Raw genomic sequence first — 23,046 nt, forward strand, 5'->3', positions numbered from 1 at the left:
TTCCAACCCCATAGGACACAGTGAACTTGCTCACACACTGAGCACATTGCTACTACAACTAGCATATAAGAAAACCATCATACAAAGACTCTCTATAACCAAGGGTCTTCACCCTCTAAAGCACCAAGAACTGAATTAGGCTATAATTAACTATAAGAATTAAAGTCTCATCCTTAAGGGGAAAAAAGAAATTTAAAAACAAACAAGCAAATAAGAGAAACACAGTCATATCAAATATAAATTCAAGAATAACGAGAAGAAGTAGTCTATCCAAATGAGAAGGAACCAGAAAAATAACTCCAGTAATATGACAAAACAAGGTGCTATAACACACCTAAAAGATCACACTAGCTATCCAGCAATGGACTCAAATCAAGATGAAATCTTTGAAATACCAGATAAGAAATATGAAGATTAATTATTAAGCTACTCAAGAAGATATTGGAGAAAGGTGGAAACCATCTTAAAGAAATTAAAAAGCAGTTCAGGATTTGAATGAAAAATTTTCCAGAGAGATAGGTATCATCAAGAAAGAAACAAATGGAACTTTTGGAAATGAAAGACACACTGAGGGAATTACAAAATTTCCACTGTAATTTTGTAATTACAGTGGAAACTTTTAACAATAAACTAGAACATGTAGAATAAAGAATTTCAGAGCTTAAAAACAAGACTTTTGAATTAACCCAATCAGACAAAAATAAAGAAAAATAATAAAAGGAAATGAACAAAGTCTCTAAGAAGTATGGGATTATGTAAAGTGGCCCAACCTAAGAATTATTGGTGTTCCTGGGGAAGAAGAGAAAATAGTAAGTATGGAAAACCTGTTTTAGGGAATAATTGAGGAAAACTTCCCTCGCCTGCCTGGAAATCTAGATATGCAAATCCAAGAAGCTCAAAGAACTCCTGGGAAATTCATTACACATTCACTAAGGCATATAGTCATCAGGCTATTTAGAGTCAACATGAAGGAAATAATTCTAAGAGCAGTAAGAAAAAAGCAGCAGTGAAATTACAAAGGAAAACCTATCAGACTAACAGCAGACTTCTCAGCAGAAACCTCAGGGGACTGGGGTTGTATCTTCAACCTCCTTAAACAGAACAACTGTCAGCCAAGAATTTTGTATCCTGCAAAACTAAGTTTTGTAAATGGAGAAATAAAGTTATTTTCAGACAAACAAATGCTGAGGGAATTTGTCACTTCCAAACCAGCTCTCCAAGAACTGCTGTAAGGAGTTCTAAACTTTGAAACAAAAGCTCAATATACATCAAAATAGAACCTCTTAAAAACTTAAAACTCACAGGCCTATAAAACAATAACACAGTGAGAAAACATATCTAGATAACAATTAACATGATGAAGAAAAGTACTTCATATTTCAATATTAACATAGAATGTAATATTAACATCGAATGTAAATGGCCTAAATGCTCCACTCAAAAGATACAGAATGGGAGAATGGATTGAAGATCACAATCCAAATATCCACTGTCTTCAAGGGACTCACCTAACACAGCAGGATTCAAACAAACTCAAGGTAAAATGGTGGGAAAAGGTATTCCATGCAAATGGGAATCAAAAGAGAGCAGGAGTAGCTATTCTTATATCAGGCAATGATGGGAAGGTGGGAGGTGTTGCAGATCCCTTATTATATCTTCCTCCCTTTGGAGTTTAGACACAACTGACCAGCATTAACATTAAAACAGCGATCTTAAGGCTGAGAAAACAGACTGTGCCAAATTCCAAACTGAATCTGGTATAACATCATATGATAGATAGTGGGCCCCAAAGAAAATAAAAGTATTTTATCCTGAAATACATTTCTTTGACATATTTTGAAATAGCCCTGCAAAGCTGTCTCTTGATGGGGAAATTTACATTCTGTAGAGAATCTCCTTCCTTTACTAGGGCTCTTCAGGAGAGTCTGACACTTTTTAACCCATTGCCCATTCAGAAAAAAAAAAAGTGCAGATGGCCAGTACTCATATGATTTTATATAACATGCTTTTTGAAGCTGATGCAAATCTGACTGACTTTCAATGTGAAAATAAAATATAAAAACTGTTCTTGGAGTCATTTGCAAACAGAAATTGTCTGTAATCCTAATGCAACAGAAATGTATATGTTACATTAGGATTAGAGACAAGAATATTCTCAGGGCAAACAGGAAATGGGTTAAGGTCCAATAAGAGAGATTCACATCTATTCTCTCTGAAGCCTGCAAACTAGAGGCTTCATCTACACGACAGGGACCTTGCCTTCCACAATCCCACCCACCCCCTCCCACCTTACCTTACCTTACCTTACCTTAAATTAACTTAGGCTGACTTTAACTCTTTAGGCAGAGCTTAACTCCTTCAAACAAATGCCACCCAGGACATCTCTGAATCCACCTATGACCTGGAAGCTCCCCTCCCCCTGCTTTGAGATGTCCTGCTTTTCAGGCTGAACCAATGTATATCTTTCTTTTTTTTTTTTTTTTGAGACGGAGTCTCGCGCTGTCGCCCAGGCTGGAGTGCAATGGTGTGATCTCGGCTCACTGCAAGCTCTGTCTCCTGGGTTCAAGGCATTCTCCTGCCTCAGCATCCCGAGTAGTTGGGACTACAGGCACCTGCCACCATGCCCAGCTAGTTTTTGTATTTTTAGTAGAAACGGGGTTTCACCGTGTTAGCCAGGATTGTCTCGATCTCCTGACCTTGTGATCCACCCACCTCTGCCTCCCAAAGTGCTGGGATTACAGGCTTGAGCCACCGTGCCCCGTGAACCAATGTATAGCTTACATGCATTGATTTATGTCTTTGCTTGTAACTTCTGTCTCCCTAAAATGCATAAAATTAAGCTGGACCTCCTGAGGCTGTGTCATTGGCCACTTTTCTTAACTTTAACAAAATAAACCTCTAAATTGATTGGCTAAAATTCGAATAATTTTAGCAGGTGCTGGAGTCCAGGGAATATCCCTGATTGCCTGGTACTTGGGTGATTAGGGTGAGTGGATAGGGTCCCGTAGTATGAAGGCCTGATAAAGGAGGTGGTTGAGGTGTGGACTCTGAATTGGTTGGTTTGAAAAGCACACTGTGGGCAAGTATGATTTGAAAAGCATACTGTCTCTAGGAGTTGGCTAACTCTGGGAGGGGCAGACCCTCCAGGTTCAACAAGACTTCAGATGTCAAATTATCAGAATACAGAAAATATAAGATGCTCTCTCTGCCTTTTAGAACTGCTGTAGCAAAATTTCTCAGGTGGGGTGGCTTAGAAACAATAGAAATTTGTGGTAATCGTTACATGATGCATATGGAATCAAGCCATGTCCTGCACCTTGAATATACAATTTTTATTTGGCAATCATATCTCAATAAAATTGGAAAAAATGTCAAAAATTAGCTCTAAGTAAAAATGAGTTTCCCTAAAGACAGAGCTTGTTCTTACCCTTGAGGCTTCTCAGAATCTCTATTACGAATTCTAGATATCCCAGATAAATTCTAGATGTTGCTTTTAGACAATGCAGTTTTCACTACTGAATGAGTAAGATTTCAGGGAGCGATATTCAGAAAGAATTTTGAAGAGAGTTTGCTCCATATTGTGACAAATCCCTTCCCCATTTTGTTTCCATACAGATAGATTTGGTAAATAATTAAATTATTTTTTAAAAAGCTTTGGATCTTGGAATTGGATTTCTTTTGGAAGTGTCAATGTACAGAGACCAACCAAAGTTAGTGAATATCTGTTCAGGTTCCTTCAGCAAAGCTGGAGGGTGTGCATATAACATACACACTTTCTCTCAAAAGAATAAAGTTTGCAGCTACCTTGGTTGTTACAAAGTTCATTTCCTGACAGGGTATATGGCTTGTCAAGGGTAAGGTGAAGGCAGTGCAGGATTAGCAAATTTCTGTTGGAAGGAGCAGGGAGTTGGGATAAGCAGGTTTAATATTGGCTAGTGCGAATAGTAGAGCAGGGTCTAAGGCATAGAGGTTGCCTGGCCCTGATGTAATAGCCTTATTTTGATATCATGTAGCAGTGGAAAGTTCTGTCCATGCAGGACTTAGCCAGATTCCAGAGAGTACTTTCTAGCATAGAGAACGTAGATTCACTCCCTGGCTTTGGGGATCAGCTTTCTAGTTAGTCTGTAAAGTGTCATCACACCTCATTCTTCAGATTGTCAGCAGGCTGGATTGTTTTCAGGTTTCTCTTTATCTGTATGTGTAGAGAACTTGCACCCAACTAGGAGGAGTGAGATGAAAAGCAAGCCTAAGACTGTCCAGGACGTTATGAGGCCAAAGTTTCAGAAGATTTGGTGCTCTTCCAGTAGGGACCCCTCTGTCTCCCTCAGTGTCTGACAGTTTTCCTAGCCATGTCTGGATGCATTTACTCTGCACACTTAGTAACCATAGTTACAATTCCAGGCCATCTCTGATCCCATTCAATTTTAACCAAACTCCTTACAGTCTACATAGGGAGTCTGGGCCTCAGAGAGGACACATTCTACTGGATTTTTAGTACCTTCCTCTCCAAAGACACCAACACTGAATTTGCTCAAAGGTTGGACATTTGCTGGAAGTACAGAACTCCTTACAACCCCTCATGCTTTTTCACCTGCTGTTCTCTTTTCATCCCTTCCCAGCAGCCATGTGTGGTTGGGCAGGCAGTACTGTCATGTCAGCCCCAGAACTAAGACGCTGTATCCTTTTCCTTGTACCACATCAGCAACCAGCTATTTGCGGCAAGAGCCCCACACTCTCAGTCTCACATCACTAGAGAGCCTGAGCCATATCGAGCACTGAAGATCATGAAAGTTGCTCCATAGCCAGAATCTACTCTCCTTTGCCACCCAGTCTTTATCGTGAGCAGCAGATACAGAACTCACACATTCATGCATCCATAAGGGTGAATGTTGTTGAAAAATCAAGCAAGAATTCACCAGCGTAGCCAGTAGGGTCAGAAGCAACATGACAGAAGTTGCTAAGTTTTCCTGTTACACCTTCATAAAGTTTATTGGTAAAGAAAATCATGAGTCCAAATGCATTTAGGCAGTTTATTAGTTACACATATAGCAAAGCAAGATCAGCATGGTGTTAGCTCTTAAGCCACAGGATAACACCCATCCAGAGGAGTCAGATGACGGGCAGCAGAGGTGGCATCACTCTGCTGCTAAGGAACCAACACTAAACCACAGGACGGCAGTCTTATAGCCTGTAGCTGAACCCTAGGGGCTCAGGTGGGAAGTTCCATTGCTCAACTGAAACTAGGGAGGTGGATGAGAAATTACCTTGTTCCAGCCCATCACAAGATGGCCTCTCCTGTTCCAAAGGAACTTCAGGGTCAGACTCAGTGCAGACTCGGGCCAGCCTGTAGTTAAGCCCTGCCTATGCGGTTTATGTGAGAGATGTACAAGGTTGTCAGAAGGCCATGGCAAATCTGCTTCTCTAAAGTTGGGAATTTCACAGAAATGGGAAATGCGAAGCTGAAGCGAAGGTAGGACACGACTTAGGTGTCAAAAGTTGTTTCCCTTGAAGCCTTTCTAAATAATAAGAATATCCTCTATGATTAGAGGGAGAAACAGGTGCTGATGAGCACACTGGACATCACGTTGAGGTGAGAAAATATCTTCTACATTGTTTTTGTGAAAAACCGAGCTCTTTTAAAGAAGGCTACAGCTCAGCTCTTTAAATTTAAGACCACAAGAGTCTGCTGGCCTATAAAAATGCTAAAAACCAGTAGTCATGGACACATCATGGTGTCACAGTTTGATCTAAATTCCCTGGTTTTGTGAAAGATGGCAGAATCAAGGGCCTACAGGATAGTGGCCATTCATTGGTTTCTTATGTCAGGGTGCAGGATTTCCTTTGACACAGCACTCCAGCTGAAACATACAGTAGGCAACTAACATTTCACTCTCATAGCATTCAAGTCTGCAGATGCCATTTTTATAGCATTTCTTGTGCATTTCTGATGATAATGAATTTATACCTGGAAGGAAAATGAATAGAAAGATAATTCACTACAGGCCTTTTTGGACCATAAAATTGCTAGTCCCTCAATTTTTATCCAACCGGATACCAAGGAGATTTGGTTATGATAATTGATCCTGTAACTGAAAAAATTAATTAGTGGTAGGGGCTGAATTGTGTCACCCCAAAATTCATATGCTGAAACCCTCACCCCTGATGTGACTGTCTTTAGAGATAGGGCCTTCAGGAAGTAATATAAGTTAAATGAGGTCATGATGGTGGAACCCTAATCCAATAAGATTGATAGGCTAATCCAATAGGATTGATGGTCTTATTAGTGAAGGTCACGGCAAAAAGATGGCCATCTACAAGCTTGAAAGCAAGCTCTCATCAGAAATTGAATCAGCTAGCACCTTGATCTTGGATTTCTCATCTTCTGGAACTATGAGAAAATAAAGTTTGTCTAAGCCACAGTGTGCGGAATTTTGTTATCGCAGCCCAAGCTGACTAAAACAAGTAATAATTTGGAAGTTTCCCTGAATTTGTCAATGAATATAACCCAAACAATCAAGCTAGCTATTCACATAGTCATTCATTCATTATTTTTTAAATAATTACTTACTCATTATTATTCATAAACCAATTTTTATAAATCCTGTGAATCAAGGACTGTTGGGGTACAGATTTGAGTATGATATAGACCTTAACCTCAATGAATTTTCATTCTAGACAAAAAGAGAAGAAATACAAAATATCTCTGAGAGAGGAAAAAACATGACAAGTGCAATGATGTATTTGCAATGTGGAACGGTCTTGTGAGTTTGAAGGAGGATGAAATCAATTCTGAAGATTTGAGAAGTCTTATTGAAGCTCAAGGAATCTGTAGAAATTTTGAGCAAACACATACCCTATCTGAGTCATAATGCCCTGGAGGATAATTGTCCTACATGAACAAGAAGGGATCAGTGTTACTTAGTTTGCAAGACAGAAGCCCTAGAGGACAATCTGTAACACTTTTGGGAAGATGAAATATAATGGTCTATAAAATGAGACAAGAACTTTCAATGGAAATGACAAGTTATGAGAATGCAAAAGGAATTGAAGGGAATATTGTACACTATATGGGGTTCTTTGTCTGGAGGCCACAAATCCATTGCCATAAACCGTAATGGAATTGGTTGCATCAGCAGCTTTAAGAGGCCTTGATCCCATGAATTCTTAAATTTAGCCTGGTGAGTCACATAATCTGAAGATGTGATTCATTTGCCTGGAGAATACTTCAGGCAAACACTTCAGTCCATCTAGGCAGATGAACCAATCTGACTGGACTGATTCAGTAACACTGAGTGAAAAGAATTTTCCAGATGAGATTGCTAAAGTCGGAAAGGATATGGTGAAGCTAGAGCACAGGGCCACTCACACTCTCTGTCATGTCTCCCTGGCTGCTATCTCATCTGATCAGGCATTTCTTCTATCACATAAAGCTCAGTGATTCTCTTGAAACTAGCCGTTCTAAATCTGTTTCCTCATGTAACTAATGGATTCACAAATAGTAAATTAACTGTAGGAAACTGCAGTATATTAGAAAATTAACAAATTGTGTTGTCACTATTTTCTGGTTTTGACTATTATACTTAGATACATTCTTGAATTAGAGACAAAATAACAGCAGGAAGACAGGATGGGCATTACTAATGAAAATACAATGATAGCTCTCATGAGCCAGGTACTTTTCATATTATGTATGGACATATTCCATACATGATCTGATTTAATCCTTGTGAGACTCTTCATTTCCATATTTCCATTTTTCAAATGAAGAAACTAAGGCTCATTGGTGCGGATCAGTTCAGCCAAAAAAAAAAAGGAAACTAAGGCTCAGAGAAGCTTAGACCTTTGTCCAAAGTTATATAGTTAACAAGTTGGACAGCCAGATTCAAGCCCAGGTCTTGCTGACATCAAAACTAGTTGATGCTTTTTTCTAGCTTGAAAATTAAAGGGCCCATGGGTGGTGTATGTTTATTGGGTTGTTTAGTGGCATTGTTCTTCTATATGAAGCACCCCTACCCCCCAAAATATGCCAGTTTTACCTGCCAGCACTGGATCCCAAAGGAAAAGAAAGACAAACACAACAAGGAGAGGCTTCATGGCTGGGAACTTCTGTTAAGGAGGCTAGTGGCAGGGTCTGACATCGGCTGTCAGGGAACAGAGAGAAGAGGTTGAGCACACAGTCCTATACAAACCTCTCAGGGCTGGGGTATGCCTCGCTTCAGGTAGATATGCTACACTGAACACCCCTGAGGCAGCCGTGTTGGCAATGCTCATCTGAGGAAAAAAAATGGACAGCCCTTTCTTGTTTGACAGCTTTTCCTATTGACAAAGACACTGTTCTCCCACCCAGGTTTTCCAAAAGTACATGGAGGCCTGAGAACTATGTGCTCTTACTCTTTTAAATGAGTAAAATTAAAATTTGATAGGCTTTTGTTCCAATAAAAATGTAATTGCTAATTTTAGAAAATTGGTAAAATATTAAACATGACAAGGATGGACAAGTTACAGATGAACTGCTCTTCTCAGAGACAAACTGTCATTCTAAAGAAAGTTTCATTTATGCCTAGTTTGTTGTTTAATATTTTGTTTTACATAGCTATAAACAATATTCTTATAATTAGGTATCCTGCTTTTGTAACTTGATATATACTATATATCAGTGTCACTATAAACTTCATAAATAGTATTTTTAAGTGTTGCACAATATTTTGTCAAGGTCATTTAAAATAATTGTTACTATTTAAAAAAACATTTTTTATTGAAGTATAAGTGACATACAATAAACTTCAAACAGTAAAGTGTACAATCGGATAAGTTTTGCCATATCTATACGTTTGTGAGACCATTGTCACATTCAAAATAATGAACATATCCATTCCCCCTAACATTTTTTCATGCCTTCTGTAATATTCCCCTCCTGATTCTCTTTCACCTCTCAGTCTAAAGGCCACAACTTTTCTGCTGACACTATAGATTACTTTGTATTTTCTTGGAATTTCATGTGAATAGAATAATATATTCTATACTCTTTCTTGTTGGGTTTCTTTTACTCAGCATAATTATTTGAGATTCGTCCTTGCTATAATATGAATTAGTTGTTCATTCCTTTTCATTGCTGAGCACCACTGCATGGCTATACATCTATGTGTTTATCCAGTCACGTATTGATTGATGTTTGATTATTTCCAGTTTTTGGCTATTGAAAATAAAGCTGCTATGGACATTCATGTACAAGTCATGGTATGGATATATGCTTTCATTTTTCTTTTGCAAATATTCAGGAGTAGAAAGGCTGGGCCACAGCTGTATGTTGTCATCAAGAGATCTCACACGCAATGACATTCATAGCCTCAAAGGAAAGGGATGGAGAAAGATCTAGCAAGCAAATGGAAAAGAAAAAGAACAGTGGTTGCTATTCTTATTTCAGACAAAACAGACTAAAAGCAACAATGATCAAAAAGGACAAAGAAAGGCATTACAAAATGATAAAGTGTTCAATTCAAAAAGAAGACTTAACAATCCTAAATATATATGCACCCAATATTGGAGCACTGAGATTTATAAAACAAGTTCTTAGAGACCTATGAAGAGACTTAGATAACCACACAATAATAACGAAAGACATTGACACCCCACTGACAGTGTTAAGCAGATACTTGAGGCAGAAAACAAATAAAGATATTGAGGACCTAAACTCAACACTTGACCAAATGGACTTAACAGACATCTATGGAGCATTCCACCACACACCAACAGAATACACATTCTTGTCATCTGTACATGGCACATACTCTAAGATCAACCACATGCTTGGCCATAAAGCAATCCTTAACAAATTAAAAAGAACGCATGCCAGTAACATTCTCAGACCGCAATGCAATAAAAATAGAAATCAATACCAAGAAGATCTCTCAAAACTATACAAGTACATGGAAATTAAACAATATGCTCCTTAAAGACTTTTGGGTAAAGGATAAAATTAAGGCAGAAATCAAGAAATTCTTTGAAACTGGGCCAGGTGCAGTGGCTCACACCTGTAACGCTAGCACTTTGGAAGGTTAAGGAAGGTGGATCACTTGAGTCCAGGAGTTTAAGGCCACCTTGTGCAACATGGTGGGACCCTGTCTCTACAAGATTAAAAAAAAAATTAGCCAGGTGTGATGGTGCACGACTGTAGTCCCAATTACTTGGGAGGTCGAGGTGGGAGAATTGCTTGCGCCTAAGGGGTTGGGACTACAGTAAGCTGTGGTTGTCCTGCTCCACCCAAGCCTGGGTGATAGAGTGAGACGCTGTCTTAAAAAAAAAATAAAAAAAATAAAAAAGAGACGTTCATTGAAACTGATGAAAACAAAGGTACAATACCAGAATCCCTGAGACACAGCTAAAGCAGTGTTAAGAGGAACATTTATAGCATGAAAATGCCTACACCAAAAAGTTAGAGAGATCTCAAATTAAGAACCTAACATCACACTTAGAAGAACTAAAAAAACAAGAGCAAATCAACCCACAGCTAGCAGAGGAAAGAAATAACCAAAATCAGAGCTGAACTGAATGAAATAGAGACATGAACCCATACAAAAGATTAATGAAACCAAAAGTTGGCTCTTTAAAAGAATGAATAAGTCTGCTTATTTAGACTGCTAGCTAGACTAAAAAAAGAAGATCCAAAAAAACACAATCAGAAACGAGAAAGAGGATATTACCACTGACCCCAAAGAAATGCAAAAAACCCTCAGAGACTATTAGGAGCATCTGCATGCACACATGCTACAAAGCCTAGAAGAAACTGATAAATGCCTGGAAAAGTACAACCTCCCAAGGTTGAACTGGAAAGAAATTGAATGCCTGAGCAAACCAATAATGAGATCTGAAATAGAATCAGTAGTAAAAAACCTACCAAACAGAAAAAGCCCAAGGCAGGAACCTATCATTTCTACCTTAGGTTCCTACCTTGGTCTCAAGTGAGCCCCAGCTGGAAGTTCATACTAAAATTGACACAAGGGGTGCCTGGTCATATCATGTCCAATTTCTTAGCAACCAGCCAGTGAGGGCGTGGGTTCATGAAAAGCAGGTATGGGAGTATAAAGGTCATAAACAGTATAAAGAATTACTGGCTGAGGCTCCCAAAGAAGCCAGCAATCACTCTGAGAAAAAAAGACCTGGAAACCTCAACCTCAGAGAGGACATGCTCAGTGGGATACTGGCATTGCCCATGCAAAGAAAGTGTTGAATATGACTCAAGGAGAAATAATAAAGCAATATACTTTTATCTATGTTGATAAACAGCTGGAAGAGGCTTTAACCCAAGCAAAAATAATGTTGCTTACAAAGCCAAAGTTAAAAAACCCCAAGACCATTACAGTGCCAAATTCTTTTCCCCAGAACGGACTATTACTATCATTCTCCCACTATTGATAAGGAGCTCGTTCACTGACTAGGTCACCAACTACCAGCAATTCGTGATTTTACTTAAATATCAGAACAGGACAGCCTCTGAGTTTTGCTCTAAAAGGTAAAGAAGAATTTCAGCAACTGTCAGAGATCGTCTCTTGTTATCTAGACCTCCCCTGGCTCAGCGTCTGGTTCACTGTAGGTGCCACGAGTTGGGAGCTGACCTAGTTCATAGACTTTAGAGATAAAGAGGGGAGATGTGCGCATCATTTGAAAACAAGTATGTGGCTTACCAGCACACCAGCTTTTTCTTTTCATCCATATATTCCCCTAAGGCCACATGGTGCTCTGGGATTAGAAAATGGAGAAGTACAATATGCTCCACGCTAGGACTAGATGGCTCTTTCTTCTGCCTCCTGGGTTTGGTATTTCTTTAGGGTCATCATGCTACTCTTCTCATCTTCCTGATCTGTGGTTGTTCTGCAACTGCCATACTCTCAGCTGCAATTGAAATGTCCCTGTCTGACCCTGAGCCATACAGATTCAATATGCAGCCTTTCCAAATGACAATCCTAATAAACAGAAATGTATTCTAGCCAACAGTGGGAGATGCAGAAGGAAGCAGCTTCTGTATCCTCTGTGAAGAGATGGTCCTCTTTCCCATTACAAATTTTACAGCACCCATTCCTTTTTTTTTCATAGCACTTGTCACAATTGTTACTATATCAATTATTTGTGTCTCTGATTAGACTGTGAAATCCGAGTAGATTCCATGACTGTCTTATTTATCATTTTACACCAGTATTGGGCTGAAAGTCTAGCAGGCCATCAGTGCCAAAGGTATATTTGTTGAATAAATAAATGAACTCTAGATATTAGGTTTATACTTTAACTTTACAATATATAGTAGTTATTCCTTATTCATGGGGCTATGTTCCAAGACCCCCAGTAGATGCTTGAAACAGTCGATAATACTGAACTCTATATATACAGTGCTTTTTTTCTATACATGCAGACCTATGATAAAGTTAAATTTATAAATTTGGCACAGTAAGATTTTAATAACAATAACTAATAATAAAACAATTATAACAATATGCTATCATAACAATACTATAAAAGTTATGTGAATGTGAACTCTGTCTCCCCCAAAATATCTTACTGTGCTATGCTCACTCTTCTTCTTGTGCTGATGTAAGATGATATAATGCCTATGTGATGAGAGGAAGTGAGGAAAACGACATAGGCATTGTGACATAGCATTAGGCTATTGCTAATCTTCTGACCATAGCTCAGAAGGGGGATCATCTCCTTCGGGTGATGCTGGGTCACTGAGCCATGGTGATGTTAGTGGCTGGATCTCAGAAGCATATGATTTCAATAACTAATGGGCAGGTAGTGTTTACAGTGTGGATACACTGGACAAAGGGATGATTCACATTCTGGGTGTGTGGAGCTGCGTAGTGCAAGATTTTGTGTTACTCAGAACAGCATGCAATTTAAAACTTATGAATTGTTTATTTATGGAATTTTGTGTTTATTTATTTATTTATTTTGAGATGGAGGCTTGCTCTGTCACCCAGGCTGGAGTGCAGTGGCGTGATCTTGGCTCACTGCAACCTCTGCCTCCCAGGTTCAAGTGATTCTCCTGCCTCAGCCTCCTGAGTAGCTGAGATTACAGGCACCTGCCACCACACCTGGCTGATTTTAGTATTTTTAGTAGAGACGGGGTTTCACCATGTTGGCCAGGCTGGTCTCGAACCCCTGCCCTCAGGTGATCCACCCACCTTGGTCTCCCAAAGCGCTGGGATTACAGGCATGAGCCACTGCACCCAGCGTATTTAATATTTTGGACTGTGGTTGACTGTAAGTAACTAGAACTGTGGCTGGGTGGGGAACTACTGCAGATATATTCCTAACAGCTGGTATTTGGAGCACTTTTAGGCATCAAGGATTGTAGTATGTATTTTTTTTAATATTGCCTCACTTAATCTTACAAATGATCTCTTAACTAGACATTTTCACAATTCACATTTTCAAGATGTTGAAGCAGAGATTTGAGTAATTCTTCTAAAATCACACATCTGGGACTGATAAGTCTTACAGAGATTCTAGAACCCAAATTAATTAACCACTCTTCTATATTGTCTCCTGGGACAAAGGGGTTCTGAAATATAGCAAAAATTCTACTTTGAATCTAGTCTGGGCCAGCCAGGAAGAATTAGTAGATGCCAGGGCCTGGGGAGCTAGAACCTATGGTAAGGAAGTGACACTGAAAAAGCTAAAGAATCTTTCTTTCTTTCTCTCTCTCTTTCTTTTTCTTTCTTTCTTTCTCTCTCTCTTTCTTTTTCTTTCTCTTTCTTTCTTTCTTTCTTTCTTTCTTTCTTTCTTTCTTTCTTTCTTTCTTTCTTTCTTTCTCTCTCTCTCTCTCTTTCTTTTCTTTCTTTCTTTTCTTTCACAGACGTCTTGGGACGCAAAGGGCCAAGGCATCAGAAACACTTGGTACCAGCTTCCACAGCAACAATGAGAGGTAACCCCAGTGCTTCCACTACCAACAGGACATTACCACTTGCAGGCAGAGAAACAGACAAGAAAAATAGTGGATGCCACATATTAGGACTCGTCTGAGACATGATGCAAGACTTTTTAGAAAGAATTTGAGGTGAGATGAGGCTGGGCTCTCTGAAGTAGTTCAAGAGAAATACTATTTTGTGGCCCTTATTGGGACTTACTTATAACCTAAGGACCTAGGATGATGCTTGAGTAGCAGGACCAACCAATGTACCAAAGAATGGGCCTCACCCAAAGAGCTTTACAAATTTTATTAAAAATAAGAATGAGACAGAACTCAGCAGTTGTACCTAGATTAGTGACAGAAGATCAGATGAGAATGAAGATGTTTTAGTAGGTTAACATAATAAACGCTCTCCGAGATACCTCATCACTGCTTACCTCTTTTGGAACTTAAAAATAACTTGGAGAAGATATGATCAACTATGAATTGACTAAGTTTCAGTTTCTGTGACCAGGCAAAATAAGGTTCCTAATAGGAATTCAGTTAATTTATAGAAAAAGAAAATTATACTTTTGTAAATATGCCTAGTAGACTGACATATCCCTTACATGACTAAAACCCTATTATGCCAAAACATCTCTTTATTGAATCTCCCCACATTCCCAACCTACTTTCTCTTCTTGCCTCTCTAGTTTAGTGAGTTATATTGGCATCCATCTTTTTATCAGCTTTGAAATCTCAGAATCATCATTCATGGCTTCTCAATATATCATATGGCCAATAAATCCTGCCAATCCTAATTCTAAAATTCACCTTGTATCTCTTCTTTCTTTTTAGTTCTCACTACTAGTGATCAAGTCCTAGATTACTGGAATAGAATAATGTTGCATCAATAGATTGTGTTTATATAAAATTATATATCTGATAACCTGAAAAATATACCTTATTTTCAAAACCACCTAACATTTTAACAAACATGAACTCTTAGGCAACACAGAATAATTATATAAAACCCCAAAGGAATAGGATGGATCAAATTCTTGGGTTCCATGAAACTATAGCTAACATTTATATAATGTCTATAATAGGGTCAAGCGCTGTTTAAGAACTTCACATATACTAACTCACATAATCCTAACAGTACCACAGTGTAGGTACCTATTGCTATCCCATTTTATAAATAAGGAAGCTGAGATAGACAGAAAAGAAATAATTTGCCCAAGCTTGAACAGTTAATAAGTGGTAGGGCTGGGATATAGTACTATGGGTGAAACAGCAATGTGGCTGTGGATGTAAATTAAGGGAGTAAATGTTAAAATGCACAAATGAAAATAGAGTGTAAGCATTTATAAAATTTATATTCATTTTCACCTGACCATCTAAACATGCAATTATAATAATTTTCATCCATCATGTTAATTATTCGTAGATAAGAGAGTTTAAGACATGTTTTTGCTCCTGGAGTCTGAAGAAGATGGAGTTAGCATTTTCACCACTTCTTTTGTCCGTCAATTTCAATGATCTTCAGTTTGCAGCAGATGCTGAAGTCAGCACAGTATGTAATTGCATGTTCATCAGCATTGCACTTCAGTCTGCAATGATAATATTCTGAAGGACATTCATCATTAGAAATGAAGCTTCCGGCTTTAAGAGGAGAAGACAAATTATATGACACAATATATTTACTTTTTATTTTTAAAGTCTGAAATATTTTATAACAAATTAAAAACATTAAAGAACTTTCCCAGAAAAACAAAACAACAGCAAAAGAATGCAAGAGAAAAAGTGGAGATGCTGAATAAAGACAAACGATGCTTTCTTCTATAAAGAGAGGAGTAAATGAGGCAGTAGCTGGAAATGTACAGAATTTTAAATGAGAACTATTACCACATATTTCTACCTAAAATGAATTATCCTGCTTGGGGGTGGTGTAGAGATTCATAATGCAGGAAATAATGTTTAACTTCTGGAGTTAAATTCTTGAAAAAGTCATTGGGGATGGAATCTAGTGTAAGTGGAGGGGTTGGCCTTGAATCAGACAGTGAAGAGAAGGTAGATTATGGATAAAGATAAAACTATGTGAAGAGATATGGTGGTGGAAAAATAGAAAAGCTATCTTTGGTTGCTTCTCTGTTCTTGGTGAAATGAGAAAAAAAGAATCCTTAATTGAGAGAAGGGGTCAGAAGGAGTTGAGTCTTAGTTCCAGCTTCCCAGGGTATTCGGGCTCAAGGCCATGTCTTCTTTACTGAGGAAGTTACTGAGATATGCACAGGAGCCTATAACCCATAATCTCCCATAACTATTCCCTTTAAACCTACCAGTCCTTCCCAAATCCTTTTGTTACAATTTATAAGTTAAAATAATTGCCATGACCAACATCATGAAAGTTTCTCCTTATGTTTTCTTCTATAAGTTTTACAGTCTCAGGTAATTATGTTTAAATGTGTAGTTCATTTTGAGTTGCTTTTTGTGTGTAGTGTAAGATACAGGCCCAGTTTTATTCTTTTGCATGTGAATATTCAGTTTTCTCAGTACCATGTATTGAAGAAACCGTCTTTTCCCCATTACATATTCTTCGCATGTTTGTTGAAGGCCAGTTGACTGTATAAGTGTCAGTTGATTTCTGGGCCCTCTATTCTCTTCCAGTCGCCTATATGTCTGTCTTTATGCCAGTAGCACACAGTTTTGATTACTCTATCTTTATAATACATTTTGAAATTAGAAAATGTGATGCCCCTAGCTTTGTTTTTCTTGCTCATTGTTTTGACTCTTCTAGGTCCTTTGTGGCTTTATATGAATTTTAAGATTGTTTTTTCTATTTCTGTCAAGAGTGCCATTAGGATTTTGATAGGGATTGTATATAATCTATAAATTGCTTTGAATAGTATGGATATTTTAATATTATTATGTCTTCCAATTCACGAACATAGGATATCTTTCCACTGATTTGTGTCTTCTTTAATTTCTTTCATGAATGTCTGCAATTTTTAATGTACCAGTCTTTCATCTTTTTGGTTAAGTTTATTCTTAAGTATCTTATCCTTTTCTTGCTATTATGAATGAGATTTTCTTTACTTGCTTTCCAGTTGCTTGTTGTTAATGCTATAGAAACACAACTGATATTTGTATGTTGATTTTCTGTCCTGCAACTTTACTGAATTTGTTATTAGTTTTAATAATTTTGGGGGAGTGAAGTTTAGGGTTTTTTACAAAAAAATTATGTCATTTGGAAATAGATAATTTTACTCATTCCCACCCCCCAACAGTTTGGATGCCATTTATTTCCTTTTCTTGCCTAATTGTTCTTGCTAGAACTTTTAGTATCATGTTAAATAAATGTGGCAAGAAGGGGTACTTTTGCTTTGTTCCTGATCTTAGAAGAAAAGCTTTTAGTTTTTCACCATTGAGTATGAGTGAAGAATTTCTTTTCACTTTTATTGTAAGGTAGGACTACTGGTGACAAACTCTATTTTTGTTTACCTAAGAAAATTATGTATTTTTACTTTAATTTAAAGGGTAGGCTGGGCGCGGTGGCCTGCACCTTTAATCCTGGCACTTTGGGAGGCCAAGGCTGGCGGATCACCTGAGGTCAGGAGTTCGAGACCAGCCTGGCCAACCTAGCGAAACCCAGTCTCTACTAAAAATACAAAATTAGCCAGGCGTGGTGGTGGCTGGCTGAGGCATGAGATTGCTTGGACCCAGGAGGCGGAGGCTGCAGTGAGCCAAGGTCACTGCCACTGCACTCCAGCCTGGGTGACAAAGTGAGACTCTGTCTAAAAAAAAAAGATAATTTTGCTAGGTAGAGAGTTTTAAGATAGTGTTCTTTTTTTTTTTAAACATTTTAAATATTTCACTTTCCTCTCTTTTTGCTTATGTGGTTTCAGAGAAGTCTGATGTAATTCTTATCCTTGGTTGTCCATAGATAAAGATTTTTTTCCCTCCTGGCTTCTTTTAAGATTTTCTTTTTGTCTTTGATTTTTGGCAGTTTCAATATAATATGCCTATGTTTAAATTTTTTGTATTTATCTTGCTTGGTACTCTCTCAGCTTCCTAGATATGTAGATTTTGTTTATTTTCAATTTTGGGAAAATCTCAGTCAGAATTTCTTCAAATATTTCTTCTATTCCTTTCTTTCTCCTCCTCCTGATACTTCATTACACATATATTGTTCCTTTTGCAATTGGCCTACACTTATTAAATATTCTGTTCTTTTACTTCTTTTTTCTTTGCTTTTAAGTTTTGGAAGTTGCTATTTAAACTTCTTTAAGCTCACCGATTCTTTCCTTGATCATATCAGTCTATTGATGAATTCATCGTTATGGGCTAAGCAGTGTTCCTCCAAAATTTGTATGTTGAAGTCCCAATCTTTAGTATCTCAGAATGTAATCATATTTGAAGATAAGTTTGTTTTTTTTTTTAAGGAGTGATAAAGCTAAAATGAGACTCCCAGGGTATGGCCCTCGTGCAATATGGCTGATGTCCTTATTAGAAGAGGAAGAGACACCAGGAATGCATGTGCACAGAAAAAATGCCATAAGAGGACATAGCAAGAAGGCAACCAGCTGCAAGCCAAGACAGGCCTCAGGAGAAACCAAATGTGCTGACATCTTGATCTTAGACTTATAACATCCACAACTGTGAGAAAATGAACTTTTGTTATTTAAGGCACCCATTCTGTGGTACTTTCTTATGATAACCCTATAGCAATGCAAGAATGGCCTAATACATCTATATTTATATTGGACAAAATTGACTTTAAGCAAAAAAACATAAAAAGAGACAAAGAAGGCCATCATATAATGATAAAAGGGCCAATTCAGCAAGAGGATATAAAAATTCCAAATATGTATATATATGTACCCAGTAGTGGAATACTTAGATATATTAAAAATGTCATTAGAGGTAAAGAGAGAGATACACCTCAACATCATGATAACTGAGGGCTTCAATACCCCACTTTCAGCATTGAACATTCAGCATTCTAGGTAGAAAGCTAACAAATAATCATCGAATTTAATCTGTACCGCAGACCAAATAGACTTAACAGACATTTACAGAACATTTCATCCAATAGCAGTGGAGTACACATTCTTCTCCTCATCAGATAGAACATTCTCCAGGCTAGACCATATGTTAAGACACAAAACAAGTTTCAACAAATTTTGAAAAATCAACATTATATCAAGTATATTCTAGACAAAAATAGAATAGAACTAGAAATGAATACTAGGAGGAACTTTGGAAACTATACAGATAACATGGAAATTAAACAACATGCTTCTGAACAACCATTGAGTCAATGAGAAAATTAAGAAGAAAATAACAAATGTTCTTGAAATAAATGCAAACGGAAACACAACATACCAAAACCTATGGAATACAACAAAGACAGTGCTAATAGAGAATTTTATAGCAATAAATGCCTACTGCAAGAACATAGTAAGATTATGAACAAGCTACTATGCACCTCAAGGAACAAGAAAATCAAGAAAAAATGAAATCCAAACTAAGGAGAAGGAAAGAAATAATAAAAATCAGAGCAGAACTCAGCGAATTCGAGATTTAAAAAATGCAAAGAATTAATGAAACAAAAAGTTGACTTTTGGAAGAGATAAACAGACTTTATAAACTGCTAGCTAGACTAACCAAGAACAAAAGAGAGAATGCCAAATAAATAAAATCAGAAATAAAACAGGAGACATTACAACTGATATAAAAGAAACACAATGGATCATTAAAGTCTGTTATAAACAACCATATGGTAAATAATCCATACGATGAAATTTTTTTTTACCAACACCAATAATCAATCTAACTTTCCCAAATTAATTTTAAAATCCACCAATACTTTATAATAAATACATATTAAACTGTGGTTTATACCTGAGATTTAGATTATCAATTGACTTATTTATCGTTTCTGAGGCGCATATTACCTCAGAGCACGTTTTAAAATGTATTTCAAGATTCCATCATTTATATAATTATACAGAATTACACCTTTCCTCCATGAATGTTGGTGTTTTATATTTTTATTGAGATAGAATTTACTATAAAATTCATTCCTTTAGAGTGTTCCATTTAGTGACTATCAGTGGATTCTTAAAGTGGGATATACTGATGACCACTGAATGAAGGAATGAAGTACGAATCTATGCCACAACATGGATGAATCTTGAAAACATTATGCTAAATGAAAGAAGGCAGACATGAAGGATCACATAATTATTATTCTCTCCATAGTAAATGTCCAGAATACGAATATACATAGACACAAAAATTAGATCAGTGGTTGCTAAGGACTGGGAGGAGGAGAGATTTCTTCTTGCGATTATAAACATATTCTGGAATTAGATAATGGTGAGGGGTGCACAATTTTAAGAATACACTGATAACCACTGAATAGAACACTTTAAGGCAATGAATTTTATGGTAAATTGTATCTCAATAAAAATATAAAAATCCCACTAACATTCATGGAGGAAAGGCATAATTATTTATAATTATAAAAATAAGGGAATCTTGAATCATGAAGTATTATATAAATGAGGGAATCTTGAATTGTGAAGTGTTATTTAACTTGATTTAGCCATTTCTGTAATGTATACATACTTCAATCACGTCATTTTGTATAACCTCTTATACATAATTTTTGCCAATTCAATAAATTCAACAACTCCAAAAAACAAGACATTCTCTTTACTAAAATAATTATTAAAAATAAAATTCAGAATTCTATTTTATTTATTTATTTATTTTTGAAACAGAGTCTCGCTCTGTCACCCAGGCTGGCTGAAGTACAGTGGTGCGATCTCGGCTGACTGCAACCTCTGTCTCCCAGGTGCAAACGATTCTCCTGCCTCAGCCTCCCAAGTAGCTGGGATTACAGGTGTGAGCCACTGCGCCTGGACAGAATATAAAAGACTGTTTAATTCAACTAAAACATTAAAACATTAAAACATAGATTATTTCTATAAGTGGTAATTGTTCTAACATGTTCTGGTCAAAACAGTCTCCTTACTTATCCACAATTAAATGGTTAATTGATATTTGATTGGATTTTGATAAAGTTTTCAAATCATGCTTGACTATTCCAATGTACAGTAAAATGTGTTTAAAAATATTTCATAAAAATTAATATTTAAAAATGGTCAGGCATGGTGGCTCATGCCTGTAATCCCAGCACTTTGGGAGGCCAAGGTGGGCCGATCACTTGAGGTCAGGAGTTTGAGACCAGCCTGGCCAAACCTCATCTCTACTAAAAATACAAAAGTTAGTCAGGCATGGTGGCACGCACCTGCATTCCCAGTTACTTGGGAGGCTGAGGCAGGAGAATATCTTGAACCTGGGAGGTGGGCTCCCCAGGCTTTAAAGCAAAACCCCCATCTTGTCTGTCTCCACTCTCATCCCAGGCAATCACGGTCATTTCCACAACCTCAACCACTGTCCACCTGGGATGCCTCCCAAGCCCAGGTCTCCAGCCCAAACCTGCCTTCCTAGCCCCAGAACTATCTGTCCTGGCACACATTGCCCCCTAGGTCCCCAGCAACCTCAGCCAATGAGTCCAACATCAACTTCCTGTCCTTTCCAGACACTGTTAGCCCTGAGATCAGACTTGACCATTCACCTCCAGTACCTGATAGGTCCGTCGGTCCTTTGGAACATATCCCACGAACATTCCCCAAACCAGGCACTGGACTCCACACATCAACACCGTCATGTGAGTCACCAGCATCCCTGGCAGGGACCCCTGTCCCAGCCTCCAACTCATCTCCTTCCTGTCCCTTGAGTTCTGTGTCACAATCCAGAGGCCACGGGAAGAAAAATGACCACCTTAATGAAATTAAAAGAATTGAGAAGACATCTCCCTATGGTCCAAAGTCTTTCCAACTGAGAAACACATATCAAGATCCAGCCTGCTTGCCCTGTGGTTAAATGTTCCTGAAATAATTAAAGCCCAGGGCAACACAGCCCCCACTCCACAAGTACTCCCAGCATAGTAAGACTTGCTTCTTTGGAAGGGTGCGAAATGTCCAGTGTGTACCCTGCCCCTCTCTGTCATAGCTAACAGGAATGTGCTTCATGTCTTCTTCCTGCTCAAAGGACCGTCCACCAACCTGCGCAGGCAGCACTTTCGTCCGGGGGGGATGGGAGAACTTCCCACCATTTCCCACTTATGCACTGCATTCCTCAGGAGCCTGCCTCACAAATTACAAGGGCGCCACAGCAGACACACGACATTCCAGTGGGTGGCCATGTCTTCATGTCAGCTTGAAAGATCGTCACCAGGGAAATATCTATATCTCGGCAGAGAGAGCTTCAGCCTGTGTAGTCCAGCTGTGCTCAAATGGAAATCCAGAAACCCAGATGTTGGTCCAAACACCCTGTCTCGGACAGCCAGCTCTGCAGGTCCCCAGCGTGGGATGGAACTGGGTGGGCCACCTACCCTGCCTGCCCACATCCCTGCCTCCTGGAATCCTGGACCCTGAGAAACAGGGGGATGTGGTGGGGAACAGGCAAGTCTTGTGCAGAAAGCCAAGATGCCACCCAAATACACTCTGCAGTCTAGGTGGGTGATATTCTGGTCTGCACCACACCAGTGCATGAGGGAATGGAGGATGGAGTCTAGACAAGCTAAATGTAAAAAGATATTGCCCAAGTATTTTGTGCTTTGTCTGTGTTACAATGCTATGCCCAGCCCAGCGTGGTGGCTCACACCTGTGATCTCAGCACCTTGCGAGGCCGAGGCAGGTGGATCACCTTAGGTCAGGAGTTTGAGACCAGCCTGGCCAACATGGTGAAACCCCATCTCTACTAAAAATACAAAAATTAGCCAGGTGTGGTGGTGGGCACCTGTAATCCCACTTACTCGGGAGGCTGAGGCAGGAGAATCACTTGAGCCCAGGAGGTGGAGGTTGCAGTGAGCGGAGATCATGCCACTGCACTCCAGCCTGGGCAACAGAGTAAGACTCCATCTTTAAAAGACATATAAATAAATAAATGCTATGCCCAGCATTTTTCATGTACTGTGTTATTATCTCAGTAAATCCCATATAACCTTCCTATGAAAGTGTATCTCATTTATCTCCATTTTATAGATGAGAAAACTGAGGCCCCTGGAGTACTATTAATTTTCCAAGACC

General features: G+C 38.3%; 1 protein-coding gene, 1 long non-coding RNA gene and 3 pseudogenes across 4 annotated transcripts; 2 read left to right on the forward strand and 3 right to left on the reverse strand.

Annotated features, from left to right (window-relative positions):
• Nucleotides 1–5,016: 5,016 nt before the first annotated feature.
• Nucleotides 5,017–12,595, reverse strand: DEFB134 (defensin beta 134). Of its 3 annotated transcripts, none has more exons than NM_001302695.2 (3): nt 12,551–12,595; nt 8,037–8,141; nt 5,017–5,965 (listed from the first exon to the last, which is right to left on the reverse strand). In NM_001302695.2, exons 2-3 carry the CDS (start codon nt 8,092–8,094, stop codon nt 5,823–5,825), a joined length of 201 nt encoding a protein of 66 aa, NP_001289624.1. In that variant the 5' UTR covers nt 8,095–8,141; nt 12,551–12,595; the 3' UTR covers nt 5,017–5,822. The 3 variants fall into 3 exon arrangements, with proteins under 3 accessions (NP_001289624.1, XP_016869213.1, XP_047278031.1); XM_017013724.1 differs by lacking the exon at nt 12,551–12,595 and adding an exon at nt 11,682–12,433; XM_047422075.1 differs by lacking the exon at nt 12,551–12,595 and having other exon boundaries at nt 8,037–8,159.
• OR7E160P (olfactory receptor family 7 subfamily E member 160 pseudogene) overlaps nt 9,449–23,046 on the reverse strand; it is a 37,035-nt pseudogene continuing 23,437 nt past the window's right edge.
• Nucleotides 10,673–11,348, forward strand: LOC100421446 (nuclear receptor binding SET domain protein 3 pseudogene; annotated as a pseudogene).
• On the forward strand, nt 13,976–18,425 carry LOC105379245 (uncharacterized). The gene is made up of 3 exons (XR_001745644.2): nt 13,976–14,050; nt 15,333–15,458; nt 18,325–18,425. It is a non-coding gene; the product is annotated as an uncharacterized LOC105379245 (long non-coding RNA).
• On the reverse strand, nt 15,243–15,925 carry DEFB131E (defensin beta 131E (pseudogene); annotated as a pseudogene).

This window comes from Homo sapiens, chromosome 8 (genome assembly GCF_000001405.40).
Source record: "Homo sapiens chromosome 8, GRCh38.p14 Primary Assembly".
Classification (NCBI taxonomy): Eukaryota; Metazoa; Chordata; class Mammalia; order Primates; family Hominidae; genus Homo; species Homo sapiens.